The following is a 16,546-nucleotide window of genomic DNA, read 5'->3' on the forward strand; positions in this document are numbered from 1 at the left end:
AGCACTCTGCGAGGGTCCCAGGTGATACTGCACCAATGCCTAGTTCAGTCCCTGACCAGTGTGGTCCCTGACCAGCAGCATTAACAACTCTTGGGCACTTAATAGAAATGCAAATTCTCAGGCCCCAAGGCAGATCTACTGACCCAGAGACTCTGGGTAGGGCCCAGCAACTGCACATCTCACACTCTTGCCAAAGTGTGAGAACCCCTGGAATAAAGAAATGTCAATGGTGCTCTTGGGTCTCTTCACAGACGTGGCTCTGCTAGAGGACTGGCCTTTTGGAGCAGGAGTTCATGGCCCAGATCCATCTCTTAGGAGAAAGGATTGGAGAGTGGGACATTGAGAGGGAGGCCTTCTGTGCACCCCTTCATTCACCCACCAGAAAACCCAGGTCCACCATTGAATAAGCTCCTCCCCCAGTCCCATGCCTGCCCACGTGGCCCTGGCCTGACTCCACCCTGACCCTGCAGGCTGCACAAGCCTGGAGCCCTCCACCCTGGCCCCTGCAGGCCCCAGTCCTGCCGGCTCCTGCACCAGCCCCTCGTGTTGGCTATACTGCCATGGCATAGGTCCAGCTGGCATCCTGTCACTCCACTCCCTCCCCAAGGGCCCCAGGTCGACTGCTACACACCCACCGCCACTGCTCCCAACTGTGCTGCTTTGGGGGACTCCAGCATTCCTTTGCTCCCTCCCGCCCATCCTGTGGCTGTCTCTGCTGAGTCACTCTTTATTAGTGTCCTCCCAGACACCTGGCACAGGTGCCCCCAAGGGATTGGGCCAGAAGCCAATAGCAGCAATTGCTGCCATTTACCAAGTGCTGATTCTGTACTAAGAACGTGCGAGTTCCTTATATCAGTTATCCCACCACTCACAAACCTATGGATAGGGCCTCAGGACTCCCATTTTACAGATGGATGAATTGAGACTCAGGAAGGAAAGATCCCAGGGTCACACAGGGCCACATAGCCAGTGAGACGGGAGCCTGGGATTTGAACTCCTGCCTGTCCGGTTGCAAAGCCAGCTCTCTCTGTCACCCCACACTGTCTCTTCTAGAGAGCCCTGGGGAGGACGGGGGCCAGCCAGTGGGCAGCCTGGGAAGGGAGTCTCTGTAGCTGGAAATGGCCAATGTATTTTCTAGAAACAGGAAATCTAACATTGACCGTGAAGTTTGTTTCCTGGTCAGTTCTGTCTGTTCCCACTGACAGCCTCGTGATACTGACTTTCAGGGCACCCGATGAGAGGGGATGGAAGAAGGACCTCCCGCCTCTCCCCACAGGAGTGCTGGGTGAGCCCTGACTTTCCTCAGTGCTCGGATGCTGGGAAGGTGCTGGGGCCATTTCATTTGCTTGCTAAAGGAAACACTCAGGCCAGGGGGCCAGAGGATTTGGGGACATCAGGGCACAGAAGTAACAGGGGGCTTTCAAGCCCTTTCCCAACTCCTCCCCGAGACAGTGACCTGGCCTAATCCTGCAGCCCCTATGACCTCTCTGTCCCTGGGGTCTTGTGAGGGCTCCTGCAGCTGGGGAGCTATGCCTTCTACTGTGGTCCCCAGCCTGGCACAGACTCTCTTATGTGACTCCACCAGGGACTAGACTGGGGGCAGCTGAGTGCCATAAAAGAAGTTAATGTGGCCTCACGTTGGTGGTGAGTGAGGGGCTTTGGGTCTACCTGCCATCCTCTGCGTCCCCTCTGGCCTCCAGTTAAGTGACCCATCCCATTGGTCTCTGTCCACTGAGCTGACTGCCCCCCAGTACCCAAGACAAGTGCCACTGCTCCTGGTTCCCAGGTCCCTGTTTTGGGTGACCACCTCACCCCCTCCCTGCCTCAGCACCTCTGTGGCCCACCCCTGGGACTCCTGTGGGACACAGGCAGGTGTCATGGGTGGACAACAAGGAGCATCTCAGGTCCGTCCGCCTGGACGCCCCCCTCTGCCTCGGGATTTCGCTCAAAGCAGCCTCCAGCTCTTGGCCGCTTCCTCCCGCTGGTCTCACCCCCAACAAACCTCTCCCAGGCAAAGCATAGTGCTTTCTCCTCTGCCTTCCTGTCTCCCAGGAACTCACTTCCATTGTATCCAGAATTCCTTCTATTTATGGCTTACAGTAAAACTCTACGCTCAAAATCAGCCGGGATTGATTCCTTATATTTAGAAAGAAGCTTTGGAATTCAGAAAATTTTTTTTTTCTTAACAAAACCCGGCATTCAAGACTATTGTTTTGCCTAGAAGACAAAACAAAATGGAAAGCCTAATTTGATCGTCAAAGTGAACAACGAATTTATTATTGTAGCAGAATCCACCGCTTCCCTGAAGTACTCAAGCCATTGATTCAGTGGATGCCACAGAGCATCAAAATATAAGAGCAATTAAAAATACATGAGTTTTATTTTCTTAATTGTTAACTCCATATACAATGCTTAAAACTCTAAAAACTGGGCTTAATGTAATCTTAATTAGAATCATAAACACTATTTCAGAATGTATTTTAGATGTATATCCTTAAAAGTTTGATGCAAATATGATAATTTAGGGATGTGAGGCATCATATAAGATGCTTAATGTCTGTACCAGGAATCTGGACTAGGTTCGAGAATGGGAGATATTGACAACCTGGACTTGGTTCAAGTTTGCTTTTAATTTGATTTACTGCAGAAGCATCAAGGAAGCAATGCACAGGGGAAGGAGGTTGTAAGAAAGCTCCTGGGTGGACCATGGCTCCTGTGTAGCCCGCTGAATTGTTCTCTGACATGAGTAGTGTGAGACGCCAGCCAGGCTGGAGGGGCGCTGAGCTGCAGATGCGCCCCTTTTCTTCCCTGCCTCGTCAACACCCGGGTGTTAAGTTCTTGCCGCGTGGCACTGGGTGGTCCCCCCACATCTGAGGCTGCACTGCAGTCTCCCATTTATGCCCCTTGGGAACTTTACATGGACAGCTCAGGCATGGCCTGTCACACTGACAAGCAACCAAAATAATCTAAATAATAAAAGAAATGACTTAAAACAGTATCTTTTAGAATAATTATTGCTATGAGTTTCTTTGCAAATTCTGCAGTTTTCAAACATTAGTCCTCAGGTGGACGGAGCCACAGAGCAGCTGCTGCTGGCCTCTTCCTCCTCCTTCCTGCCCCACCTGGTGCCTCCACCCTCACACCCAGTTCCCAAGAGCCTGCCACTCAGGCCTCCTCGTGCCCAGACCAGACAGGGACATGTGTGGACTTCCCAGGTGTACATATCCCCACCATGGCTGATTTTCAGCTACCCACATGATGTCACCGAATACGGAGTTGTAAAGAGACGCACGCCACTACGTTTCCATCCCAGAGCTGCAACAGACACAAATAAGCTTAAGTGCATCGACAATAGTCAGATCAGATGCACAAAAACAATTAGAAAATGCTGAGTTTGTTTTGTTTTGAGACGGAGTCTCACTCTGTCACCCAGGCTGGAGTACAGTGGCGCAATCTCAGCTCACTGCAATCTCCACCTCCTGGGTTCAAGCGATTCTCCTGTGTCAGCCTCCCAAGGAGCTGGGATTACAGGCATGTGCCAACATGCCCAGCTAATTTTTGTATTTTTAGTAGAGACGGAGTTTCACCATGTTGGCTGGGCTGGTCTCAAACTCCTGACCTCATGATCCGCCCGCCTCAACCTCCCAAAGTGCTGGGATTACAGACACGAGCCACTGCACCCAGCCTGTTATTTAACTCTTAATAATGGCTGTGCTTAACAACTGGCCCACAAAATCCCTGCAAATTTAACAACTGGTTCTCAGGAGGAGCCGCACATCATTGGGGGGGCCTTGGTTGGCCACAGCAGCTTGGGAAAGGGGAGGTACATGCCCTGACACTAGTCCCAAGATGGTTACTTGACATTTCCAAGCAATATATTATTTAAATATGCATATGTTTTTGCTGATTGCTAGTAGGTTTTTTCTTTCATGAATGCACTTAATTTTGCCCAATGCAGTTAATTCACCAAAGGATGACTGGGCACTGACTATTCCCCCCAAAACCTCCAGCTGGTGCTCTAACAGCCGACCTTACACAGAAAGGTCAGAGAAGGAAGCAGTTCTTCAAAGCAGGCAGAATCGCCCTGACACGGATGGGGAGATGAGGGTGGCACACCTCAGGGCTGTGGTCCCTCCCTCAGAGAGAACCACATTGCTCCTGAAGGAGCTCAGGCTCCTTCAAAAGGAGCTGCACTTTGGCTGAAGCTTTGTGTAGTCATTCCTGTCAGCACATTCCCCATAATTCCCACAACCCAAGCCTGGCTTCATCAGAAAGTCCAGGCTGGGCATGGAGGCTCAAGCCTATAAATCCCAGCATGTTGGGAGGCCAAGGCAGGAGGATCGCTTGAGCCCAAAACTTTGAGAACAGTGTGGTGGGCAACATGGTGAGACCAGCTTGGATGGCATGATGGGACCCGCTATGAAAAATAAAACAAAATAAAATAAATTAGCTGGGCATGGTAGCATGTGCCTATGGTCCTAGCTACTCAGAAGGCTGAGGCAGGAGGATCGCTAGAGCCCAGGACGCTGAGGCTGCAGTGAGCTGTGACTGCACCATTGCACTCGCAGTGGGGAGATGGAACGACCCTGTCTCAAAACAACAACAACAACAAACCCAGAAACAGAAAGAAGTCCATGGCAGAGTGGAAGGGTCTGTCTGCCCTTGGGTCACACAGGTCTTTAATCCTGATGCCTGATATAGGTCAGTTAGCTCCTTTCAAGTTAGGCAACAAAACATCCTTCTTTGATTCTCCAACCAAGTGCCATCACTCAAGGCACGTGGTTTCCAAGCCCTCCAGGGCCTTCATCGGCAGTTGCTTCCCTTCGCAACATCGTGAGCGACACATCGTGGCTGAACTCCAAGGGGGACATGTGGGTGTAATGAGTCACTGCCAACACGGAAGGTCCAGTGCAAGCTAGATCGAAGCTGATCCGGGTGCCCACCCCAAACACAAGAGTAGCAGGGAGGGGAGACAAGCACCTACTGAGGAGACCAGGGCCAGTGGGGCCTGGGTGAATCTTCAATGGGGACAGAATCACCCTGACACGGTTGGGGAGATGAGGGTGGGGCACCTCAGGGCTGTGGCCCCTCCCTCAGAGAGAACCACATCGCACTCCTGCTCTGCTGGACTCGGGTGTGGCCACGTGACTCTGCCTGATGAGACATGAGGGCAGTGACACTCTGCCTGGTCAGTATATTCTGTCCCTTTGCCAGGAGACAGGGAAGGTTGCAGGTGGAGGCTACTCTGTCAGCCCCAGGCCCGAACAAAGACAACAGGAACAGTGTTGCTGCCAGCCCGCGATGGAATCTGGGGGTCATTTGCTCCCAAGCTTTGCTATGTCTATCCTGATTGACACCCAGGCAGGTGGGAGAGGTGAAGGAAGTTCCAGAAACCGAATAACGCTGGGCATGTTGGGGAATGGCACGAAGCCCAATGTGAAGGGAAAACAGGGTGGGTGTGTGTAAAGAGGAGCTAGCAGGGGGGACGGGATTCCTAAGGGCTTGGAGCTCTGAGTGCACTCCGTCCCCGCACCCCGACTCCATGTGGGCCCATGGCACCACTCCCTAGGGGACTGCAGCCACCCTTCCCCTAGAACATGGACAAGGGCTGGCCGGCCCTGAAGGAGCTTCGACCTACCTAGAGGAGGCAGGCACCCAGGCCAGCCACGAGTCAGAGACCACTAATTCCGCCAGAGCAAGCTGTTTGGGCACTGCGTCCTTCTCACGCGAAGGGCAAAGATCCCGTTCATCCACAGGGACTGCCCAGCAACAAGGAACAGCAGTCACTCCCTGCATAGCTGCAGGGCACTGTCGCAGACCATCTCCTCCATCCTCCACCATACCTGGAGCTAGTCTAAGATCACAAGAGTTGGTGTGTCTTCCCTGTAGGAAGAGGGCTCTCCCTTGAGTCCAATTCTTAACCTTCCTGTTTCATGGACTCTTCGGTCACCTGAGGAAATCTATAGAGCCCTCCTCAGAACAATATTTTTATTTATTTTTATTTTATTATATAATAATTATTATTATTTTGAGACAAGGTCTCTCTCTGTCACCCAGGCTGGAGTGCAGAGGTGCAGTCACCACTCACTGCAGCCTCCACCTCCCACACTCGAGTGATCCTCCCACCTCAGCCTCCTGAGTGGCTGGGAGCACAGGTACGCACCACCACACCCAGCTAATTTTTTGATTTATTTTATTTTATTTTATTTTATTTTATTTTTCGTAGATATGGTGTCTACCTATGTTACCCAGACTGGAAAATAATGTTTTTAAATGCATAAAATAAACCAGGTAGGATTACCAGGGAACCTAATTATTTGTTAATACGATTATCAAATCCTTTTAAAAATTATGATGCGTGCTTCTTCATTAAAACATTGAATAACAAGGATCTAGTAGAATTATATAACAATCATAATTTTTAAGTGGATATTTCAAAATATCTACAAGCAAAGTAATAGGATGTAAAACTCTCTGTGATTTCTATGGGTGACGAGTCACAGGCATTGCTAACATTGTTTGGTTTGTCCTCTACATTTATAACTGAAAGTAATGCTACATTTCAGCCAGAGATTAATGAAAATAAGGACATAAACTTTTGCCTATTCAAGTTCACTGACCCTTTCACTCCTAGCCCCATCCTGGCTGGGTGCAGTGATTCATGCCTGTAATCTCAGCACTTTGGGAGGCCAAGGTGAGAGGGTCGCTTGAGGCCAGGAGTTCAAAAATTTTATGTTGCCTTGGCATCCATTTTGAGACTAAGTGTTACCTAGTGAGACCCCTGTCTCTACAAAAAAGAAACTTTTTAAAATTAGCCTGGCATGGTGGCACATGCCTGTAGTCCCAGCTACTTGGGAGGTTGAGCCAGGAAGATCTCTTGAGCCCAGGAGGCCGAGGGTGCAGTGAAACTTGCACTGCAGCCTGGGCAATAGAGTGAGACCCTGCCTCTTAAAAGAAAACAGAAAAAAAAAAATGGATTTCCTCTGGATTCACTCTCTCTACTCCCCAATCAGTGCCAATGATGATGATGATGATGATGATGAATGCCGCTCGGTCAGGCCTCAGTGATTTCACCCTGTACATTCTCAGATGGTCCTCTGGCTCTCTAGTTTACCCCTGGGGGAAGCACTTGTCTCAATGAAATGTTGCAATAAAAACTGAAGGGGAGGAGTGGGGAGGGGTGGTGCAGGAGCCCCACAGCCCTGGGTCCAAGGTGAGGCCAAGGGCAGCCTCTGCCACAGCCTGTGTCGGTTTCTCAGGAAGCCTTTTTCTCTGCCCATCCGTGGTGTGGTGATTGCTTAATTGTCGCTAAAAGGATCAAATTCAAAGCACTCGGCCTCTCTCCTTCATTCTCTTGCCTCACTCCAGTTTTTAATCAATCTCTCAGCTGTCAGCTACACCGAGTGCCTGAGGGTCTGCTGTGGGCTCTGCCTTTTCTGAGGTTGGGTAGGGGGTGTCCTCCTTGGGTCCAGCTATTCAATCTGACTCAACAAACAAAGCATTTCTTAAAACAAGTCTTCAAACATGCAAACAGTAAAGGAGAAGACTGATTCATTCTACCAGGTTAAAATTAAGATCATAACATTCATCAAAAGACAGTAAAAAGGAAGTCTCAAACTGGGAGATAATATTCCTTACACCTGTGAGTGACAAAGGGCTAGTATCCAGGATGCATAAAAACTCCTACAAGTCAATTTCAAAAAACAACCCAATACAAAAATGAGGGAGAACAATGGTCAGGCATGTCACAAAAGAGGCCCACAAGAAGGGCAAAGAGACGTTCGCAGAGATGCTCAACCTCAGCTGTGACCAAGAAAACACAAAGTGAGACCATAAGATGAGATTTTGTGCTCACTAGATGGACAAAACTCAGAAATGTGACTATCCCAAGGGTTGGTGAGGAAGTGGGTGAGCACCGGGGATCTTTACACAAAGCTAGAAAGAGGCTTATTCGACTGTTTTGGAAATTTGGCAATCTCTGAAAAGCTGAAGATACGTGAGCTTTGACACAGCAACCCCACTAGCATAGCCTAGTGCCTGTGCCCAAGCCTGCGTATATGACAAGGCTGATAGCAGCGCTTTTTGTAACAACCAAAATCGGGAGAGGGAGTTGTCCTTTGACTGAAGAATGGATAAATAAATTGTGGCATAGTCCCGGGTGGAACATTACCTAACATTGCAAAGGAATGAACTACAGGTACACCCAGCAACAAGGATGATGCTTAGAGTTGTAATGTGGAGCAAAAGAAAAAGCAAGTCACAAAAAAATGCCTCCTGTGTGACACTATTGTCATAAAAACCAAGCAAAACTAAACAGACTATTCAGGTAGGGCTCATAGACATGCTATCAACTGCTTTTTAAAAACAAGGGAATAAATGAGATGCTATTCAGGGTAGGGGCTGCCTGGTCAGGGAAGAGGACAGGATCACCAAGGCTTGTGCAAGTAGATTCACAGGTGCCAACAATGTTCTACGTCTTAAGCTGGGTGGTGGACTCTCAGTTTCAACAAAATCGCTGAGTAGACACTGAGACTGACTCCCAGGCCTGATGCCTGGCAACATACCAAGCCCAGGACACAGGGTCACCCTCACGGAGGGTACTGGAAGCCTTAGAAGTAACCTCAGAGAGGCAGAGAACATGGTGGGCCCCAAGGCGAAAGAAGGGAAATGACAAATGTCTCCTGCCACTCAGATGCCAGGTCTCTCCACAGCCTTTCCCACGTAATCCACACAGGCAATGTGTTAAACAGATACCAATCACGTCCAGCGCACAGATGGGCAAACTGAGGCTCTGAAAGACTAAGCTGTTTCTCCAGGAAGTGCCAATGGGAAGGGCTGGGGCTGAGACACCTCCAGTCCAGGTCCCTCTTTCCACACCATCGACGTGGTGCTGTGGGGATCAGGAGAGGCTTTGATGAGGAGGTGACGTTGGAGACATGTCTGGAAGAATTTGGAGGAGTCAGTGGCAGAGGAGCCTGGATGGCAGAAGGTGGCCTGTGCCCTGGCAAAGTGTGCAGCAGTATGGCTCGGGGCACAGTGAGTGGGAAGAGGGACAGAGCCTGACTCATGTGGCCCAGGGTCTGCCCACGATTATTGACTGTCAAGCACTGAATGAATGAGCGTGTGGGTGGACTTGGCTGGAGCACAGGCTGCACACGGACAAAGAGCTACAGCCGTCAACTGCAGCAGCTGCAACAGTCCTGACCCACCGTCCCCACCCCAGTCCACTCTCTCCCGCTAGCCAGGGTGAGTTTTGTAACACATAAACTGGGGCACATTCTTGCCCAGATCCAAATCCTCCAATGTTGTCTGTGATATAGTCTTAAGTGGGGGGAAAAAAGAGCAAGGAACAGAATGGTGTGTTAGTATACCACCATTTATGGGTATTTTTTGAGACAGAGTCTCACTCTCTTGCCCAGGCTGGAGTGCAATGGCTCACTGCAACCTCTGCCTCCCAGGTTCAAGCGATTCTCCTGCCTCAGCTTCCCGAGTAGCTGGGACTACAGGCATGTGCCACCACGCCCAGCTACTTTTTTGTATTTTTAGTAGAGACAGGGTTTCACCATGTTGGCCAGTACGGTCTTGAACTCTTGACCTCCAGTGATCCACCCACCTCAGCTTCCCAAAGTGCTAGGATTACAGGTATGAGCCACCATGCCCAGCCCATTTATGGTTTTTAAAATTACATAATTACATCTATTTTTTTCTTATGTATCCAAAAGATCTCACTGGAAGGACACATCAGGACCTGGTTGCAGTGTTGACCTCTTAGGGAACCAGATGGCTAAGTGGGACAGCCATGACTGGCCATGTGCTTGCCAATCCCATTTCCTCTTCCTGGACACACAAAAGTCACATTTCCCAGCTTCCCTTGTGGCTAGGCTGGGGCCTTGTGACTTGCTCTGGCCAATGGGCAGTGGCTGGGGTGATGCATGTCTCTCCAAGGCAGGCCGCTCCTGACCTAGGTGGCCCCTTGCCCTGCAAGTGGCAGCGCAGGGTCTTTGAGCACTTTCCAAAGTCCATTGCCTGATTTCTCTGTTCTGCAGAGCATTTTTCACATCCTGGTCACTTTCTCGTTTATTGGTTTATCTTCCTATTAGCGTGTAAGCTCCACTAGAGCAAGAAGTTCATCTGTCCTGTTCATTTCAGTAAGCCTAGCACTTAGAGTGGTACCTGGACTCTGTAGGTGCTCAATAAAGGTTTGTTGAGGGAATGAATGAATGAATGAATGGATGAGTGCAGGAATGAGTGAATGCCTTTAAGATTGGCTTATGATTGACATTTATGAAGTTGTCTGCCTAGCGTCCCTTTAGCAAGAGTTGCTCCTTCCCGTTCCCTCCACGTGTTGCCCTTGCAGTTGGGGACTTGTGCTTCCGGCCCCAGCTGACTGGCTGAGGAATGAGTCCCTGGCTGAGCTGGGTCAATGAATCCCTTCCCTGGGATCTTTGGACTAGATGGGATAAATAGAAATCAACATAGACAGAGCCTCTCCGTCTGGGGTTGAGCCTGTAACGCTAACCTCGGAGCTGTCAGTCTGGGCTGGAGATGCTGAGGGCACGTGTCTACAACAGCAGACAGGGAGGCAGCTGCTCCTAGGCAGGAGCCAACAGGAGAAACCAGAGAGGCCCCAGTCCTGCTGGTTCTAGGCCCTGCTGTGTTCCTCTTTTCTTGGCATCATGAAGCACCTCAGGCCCTAATAACAAGTTGAGGACCAACAAGAGGCTCTGGAGCTTGGATTCCAGAGGAGACATTTCCCAGCCTTTGGGAGGGGCGTCCTGGAAACCCTCATTGTGCCCTGCTCTGAGATGGCTTTGGGGCTTGACCCCTGCATGTCCACTCTCAGATTCCTTTCCTCCCCCTCCCACCCACCGCCACCATCATTCAAATGTCCAAAGCCTCAGGTAGTGGGAAGGAGGAGTATGAATTCTGGAACACAGGCAAGGACTGATGTCTTGTTCGGGAACGTTCTGGCCACCACAGCCTAGTGCTGCTGTGGAGGAAGGAGGAACGGCCCCGACCCAGGCCTGCCAGTGGACATGGCAGCCCGGGGACAGAGATCAAGATGTGGGAGCTGAGAGCAGTCCTGGCCACCAGCAGAGCATGGCATCAGGGCATTGTGACAGAAATGTTCTTGCCTGACCCCAGCCCCAGGACGGCTGTCCCCCACCCAGATCCCCGCCTGCCTCCCTGGTTCTCCCTCTAAGCCTCCACCTCAATGCAGGGGTCAGCAGGTGCCCACTCATAAAGCCCAGCTCACTCCCCAGCCTTGGGGGAACGCACACTCGGGCTCTGCTGCCCACCGCATGCTGCTGTTCATGATCCCTCTCTCTTCCTCTCGGACAGACACACACACACTACCCCAAATATCCACCTGCCCTCTGAGCACTGGCATCTGCTGTCACCCCCTCCCTCCCAGGGAATGGTCTCAGCCATCCACCGGTTATCCCAGCCAGAAGCCAGGCACCCACTTGACTCTGCCTTTCCCCGCTGAGCCCTCCTGCCCCACTGCCCTAATACCGCAAGATTCCTCCTATTTCCCCCCCTCCCCTCACCTTAGACTGCAGGCCCACCCCATGGCCTACTCAGACTCTGCCTGAGTGGTCTAGCATCCTCCCCTGCTTACATCTCTTTGTGGCCCTGGGAGACATCCCGACTCCTGCACCCGTCATGAGGCCTTTGCTGATCTAACGCCCACCTGTGCACTGGGAATCTTTGTAGCTTCATGAGGTTCACCTATGAGGTTAGCGCCAGAGAAGCCCCACGTGGAGCCTCTCGGGTAATTACGCAGGAGATGGAGCGGGTTCTGCAGAAGAGACTCTCAGCAAATCTCAGCAGTGGGGTTGCATGGAAGGCAGGGCTCCCAGGGGCTGAGACACAGTGGTAAATACTTCTTAAAATAGACTGTTTATGTTATGGATCAAACTGAATTCCTAAGTTTAACTATATTTTTGGTAATTTGGTGGGGAAACAGGCTGCGCAGAACAACTCCGCCTTGCCCCTAGCCTGGGCTCAGGACTCTAGGGAGGTCTAGGGAGCAGCTCCAGGGCCTATGGCCCCTCAGGTAGAGGCACAGGTGCGTGTGTGCACATTTTCCTGAAAAAAAAAGAAAAAAAAGATCTAGTGCTTTTGTCAGAATCTCAAAGGGATCCATGATCTAAGAAATGTCTAAAGCATTGTTCTCACAGAAAAATGTTCGTTCTCATTTATAATTCAAGAAATGTACATTTAAATGGTATATTTTTCTCATCTGTCTCAGTGGCGTTCATCTGTAGCTGCCTATTAGAATCTCCTGGGGAATTATTTATTTATTTATTTATTGAGACAGAGTCTGGCTCTGTCACCCAGGCTGAAGTGCAGTGGCTCAATCTTGGCTCGCTGCAACCTCTGCCTCCCAGGTTCAAGCAATTCTCATGCCTCAGCCTCCTGAGTAGCTGGGATTACAGGTGCCCACCACCACGTCCAGCTAATTTTTGTATTTTTAGTAGAGACAGAGTTTTGCCATGTTGGCCAGACTGGTCTCGAACTCCTGACCTCAGGTGATCCACCTGCGTCAGCCTCTCATAGTGCTGGGATTACAGGTAGGAGCCACTGCACCCAGCCTCCTGGGGACATGTTTTAAGTGCCAATGCCCAATCACCTCCCGGACACACACACACACACACACACACATACACACACGCACGCACTCACACACACACGGTCAGATTCTGCTTTAATTGGTCTGGGATACTGTCGTGTTGGCATATTTAGAAAGCTCCCCAGGTCATTCTGACTGCAGTCAAGATTGAGAACCAGCAACCTGTCAGATCAACCAAGGGCAAAAACGTCCATGGGATCTCATGCATTCTGGGTGGGAGTGCGGCCTGGTTTAAAAGTCCTTTGCAGAGCAATCTGGAAATACCAAAGCTAGAAGGGCCTCTACCCTCTGACCAGCAATTCCACTCTTAATAATTTAGTCAACAGCAGCTCTTGCATTGGTGCTTAAAGCTGTGTATAGAGGATATTTACTGCCCACTGCTCCTAATAAGCACAAGATTGGAAAGTGCCCAAATGTCAAATCAAGCATGTCACATCCACATACTAGAATACTCTCTAGCCAGCAAAAAAAAAAAAAAAAAAAAAAACCACAGGCGCCTTCTGTGAAGTGATGTGGGAGGCTTTCAGCGTCATTGCTAAATGCAAACGAGAAACTGAGTGGAGGGTGTGGTTTTGAACGTACAGGCGTCTGTATTTTTATATGCATCTAGAATTTCTGGAAGGATATACTTTTCCAAAACCTCTTAACAATTATGGCCTTTGGGGAAGAAGTGGGGCTAGGGTGGGAGGCGGGGAGCTTAGTTTTCACTTGCTTCCCCCTTTTGTGTTGTTTGAATTGTTATTATTAATATGCACTGCTTTTTCCAAAAACTTCAGAAGGTGAAAAGAAGAGGAAAGAAGGGAAGAGAGTGCCTGGCAGCCGCTTGGCACAAGGACTAAGAAGTGGAGTGCCTGGTCATGGAGGGGTGCGAGTGAAGCCTCCAAACTGGCTTCAGCGTGGGGGCACCCTAAATCCCCTGGAATCAGGTCAGACTCTGAAGGTAGGAGTCTGCTTGGTCTATGGTGGAAGTTGGGGACAGTGACTTGGCCTGAGGGTCGGGGATAGGAGGGCTTCCAGGACGGCAGGGCGGGAGCTCTGCAAGCCAATCCCTCCCTCGTGCCACCTCCACGCAACGCCGTTAAATTCAGATGCTACGCTAAAAGCAGAGGAAGGAAAAATATCTGTGTCACAGCACCAACTGGAAACCAACGCGCGTACATCCTGTCTCTACTCTGGCCGAGCCGACCAAAGCACATCCTGCAAAATTCTAGACCCCCGCAAACGGCGGGAGGCGGCCGTGCGCACAACATCCTGCAAACGCCGCCCTCTGGTGGTGGAGCTGGTGAACTGCGCCCAGGTCCATAGGCGGGCCCACGCTTGAGTGTTCCAAACGGGAGAAGAAAAAAGTACCATTTAATACCGAAGCGAAAACAAGTACTCAGTAAGAAAAGCACAGATGCAAACGCAAAATTCATATTTTAAATATAGTTCGCAAACTGGTTCCCAACTAACTCTTCTCCCAAAATACAATAGCTTGTTTCTCCCCTTGCAAAATACATATTCTCATTCTAAAAAAACAATAATGAAAAGCACTAGGAAAAAGAGACACCTACAGTCACCAGGCTGTGATCTGTAGCTCTTGCTAGCATTTTGGTGAGTATCCTTCCAGACTCTATCAACACATACACAGAGATACATGCAAATGGATAGCAATGGGACTGTGCAACACACCCAATTTTGTAGCCTGATTTTTTTCTCTTAATTATATATTGTGGGTATCTGCACAATAATACATGCTACATCATCATTTTTAATATTTTCAATTGAAAAAGTTATACGTGTGAAAATATACCCACAGATAAACTCACATAAATGAGAGAAACTATCTATTAATAGCAAACTTGCTGAGTCAATTATGATATATCCATCTGGTAGAATTCTACGCAGCTATTTTTTTTTTTTTTTTTGAGACAGAGTTTTGCTCTGTCACCCAGGCTGGAGTGCAGTGGCAAGATCTCAGCTCACTGCAACCTCTACCTCCCGGGTTCAAGCAGTTCTCCCTGCCTCGGCCTCCTAGTAGCTGGGTCTATAGGCACCTGCCACAACGCCCAGCTGATTTTTGTATTTTTAGTGGAGACAAGGTTTCACCATGTTGGCCAGGCTGCTCTCGAACTCCTGACTTCAGGTGATCCACCCACCTTGGCCTCACAAAGTGCTGGGATTACAGGTGTGAGCCACCGCACCCAGCCACTATGCAGCTATTAATCTAATGCACTGGTGCTGCAATATGTCAAAGATATATCACATCGCAAAATAAAATTACATTACAAAATAATACGTATAGAAGTATCCTATTTTAGCTTACAAAAATATATTTATATACATATACCATTATATATGTATTGATATATAGACATATATAGATATATATGTATATGCCTGTGTCTGAGAAGAAAATGTTTCTTGAAGGATACTCCAGAAACTCTCTTAGGAAATAAGACTGGGAAATGAAGGATGAGTATAAGTTGTAGCTTTTACTTTCTCTCCCCTTATAAGATTTTTTAAAAATATTATCCTCTCGATGATAGAATTCTGAATCCTGAATGTGCTATGACTTAGCTGAATAATGCCCTGTTGGTGAACACTCAAGCTGCTTATACTTTTTCTGCCAGGAACAAAGCTACAGTGGTACCTTGGATGTAGTCACTGTGCACTTGTCTGATTATTCCTGCTGAGTAAATTCCTAGGCATGGAATTGAGGGTTCGTTTTTAAGGTGCATCATCCAGGATATTGACTATCAACACGTCGTAGAGTGAAGCTGACGTGACTGTTCAGTGCCCGTTTGCATTTCTGAAGGGCCTAATGTCTGCTTCTAGGTGAGGAGGGCATTATCTCTGGCCATGCTTCATATCCCTGGAAGCTCTCTCCAGACTACGGGTCAGGTTCACCGGATGCCCAGACGTCCCTCTTAAGGTCTTGCTTCCATTTATGGCTGCACCTCCACACCCACTGTCATCCTCACCCACCTCTGTCTATTCCCTCCACAGCAGCCAGTGAGAGCCTTCACCAGACCCTGCCCACGCTCCATCAGTAGCTTTGCTGCACACTGGAAATCAATCCAAGGTCCTCCCATGGCCCAGGAATCCCTGCATGGTATGGACCCTGATAATCTTTCTTTTTTTTTTTTTTTTTTTTTTTTTTTGAGACAGAGTCTCGCTCTGTCGCCCAGGCCGGACTGCAGTGGCGGGATCTCGGCTCACTGCAGGCTCCGCGCCCTGGGGGTTCACGCCATTCTCCTGCCTCAGCCTCCCAAGTAACTGGGACTACAGGCGCCCGCCACCTCACCCGGCTAATTTTTTGTATTTTTAGTAAAGACGGGGTTTCACCGTGTTAGCCAGGATGGTCTCTATCTCCTGACCTCGTGATCCGCCTGCCTCAGCCTCCCAAAGTGCTGGGATTACAGGTGTAAGCCACCACGCCCAGCCCCCTGATGACCTTTCTAACCTCACGTCTCCCTCCTCTTCCTGCCCTCAGCCCACTCATGCTGCACACTGGCCACCTTGCTGTTCCTGACGCTCCCCGAACATCCAGCCCCAGGGCCTTTGCACTTGCTGTTCCCTTTGCCTGGAATACTGATCCTCTACTCACAAGCCTCTTTCCCTGGCTTCATTCACAGCCCAGCTCAAATATTTCCTCCTTAGAGAAGCCTTCTGGCCCACCCTGCCTTAAAGGACACTCTCCATTCCCAGACCCCATCTCATTGTCTAGTTATCATTTTTTATTTTTTTATTGAGACAGAGTCTCACTCCGTCGCCCAGGCTGGAGTGCAGTGGCATGATCTTGGCTCACTGCAACCTTTGCCTCCCAGGTTCAAGCGATTCTCCTGTCTCAGCCTCCCAAGTAGCTGGAACTACAGGAGCGCACCACCACACACACCTAATTTTTGTATTTTTAGTAGAGACAGGGTT

At 49.6% G+C, this 16,546-nt stretch overlaps 1 protein-coding gene across 3 annotated transcripts in view, besides 3 other annotated features; it reads right to left on the reverse strand.

The window, feature by feature from the left end:
• Positions 1–16,546, reverse strand: part of HSPA12A (heat shock protein family A (Hsp70) member 12A) — a 179,556-nt gene that overhangs the window by 103,148 nt on the left and 59,862 nt on the right. The gene's annotated exons all lie outside the window — the stretch shown is intronic.
• Positions 537–1,036: an enhancer, noted in NCBI's record as "H3K4me1 hESC enhancer chr10:118534387-118534886 (GRCh37/hg19 assembly coordinates)". NCBI's record gives its function as "activates a minimal SCP1, AML or CMV promoter by ChIP-STARR-seq in primed H9 embryonic stem cells {active_cell/tissue: H9 hESC(primed)}" and the evidence as "EXISTENCE:reporter gene assay evidence [ECO:0000049][PMID:30033119]".
• Positions 4,356–5,555: an enhancer, noted in NCBI's record as "CDK7 strongly-dependent group 2 enhancer chr10:118538206-118539405 (GRCh37/hg19 assembly coordinates)". NCBI's record gives its function as "activates an origin of replication core promoter dependent on BRD2, BRD4, P300/CBP, MED14 and CDK7 cofactors, with strong dependence on CDK7, by STARR-seq in HCT116 cells {active_cell/tissue: HCT116}" and the evidence as "EXISTENCE:reporter gene assay evidence [ECO:0000049][PMID:35650434]".
• Positions 10,459–10,625: a silencer, noted in NCBI's record as "fragment chr10:118544309-118544475 (GRCh37/hg19 assembly coordinates)". NCBI's record gives its function as "represses an EF-1alpha promoter that drives an FKBP-Casp9 reporter gene in an ReSE screen in HepG2 liver carcinoma cells {active_cell/tissue: HepG2}" and the evidence as "EXISTENCE:reporter gene assay evidence [ECO:0000049][PMID:32094911]".

This window comes from Homo sapiens, chromosome 10 (assembly GCF_000001405.40).
Source record: "Homo sapiens chromosome 10, GRCh38.p14 Primary Assembly".
Lineage (NCBI taxonomy): Eukaryota > Metazoa > Chordata > Mammalia > Primates > Hominidae > Homo > Homo sapiens.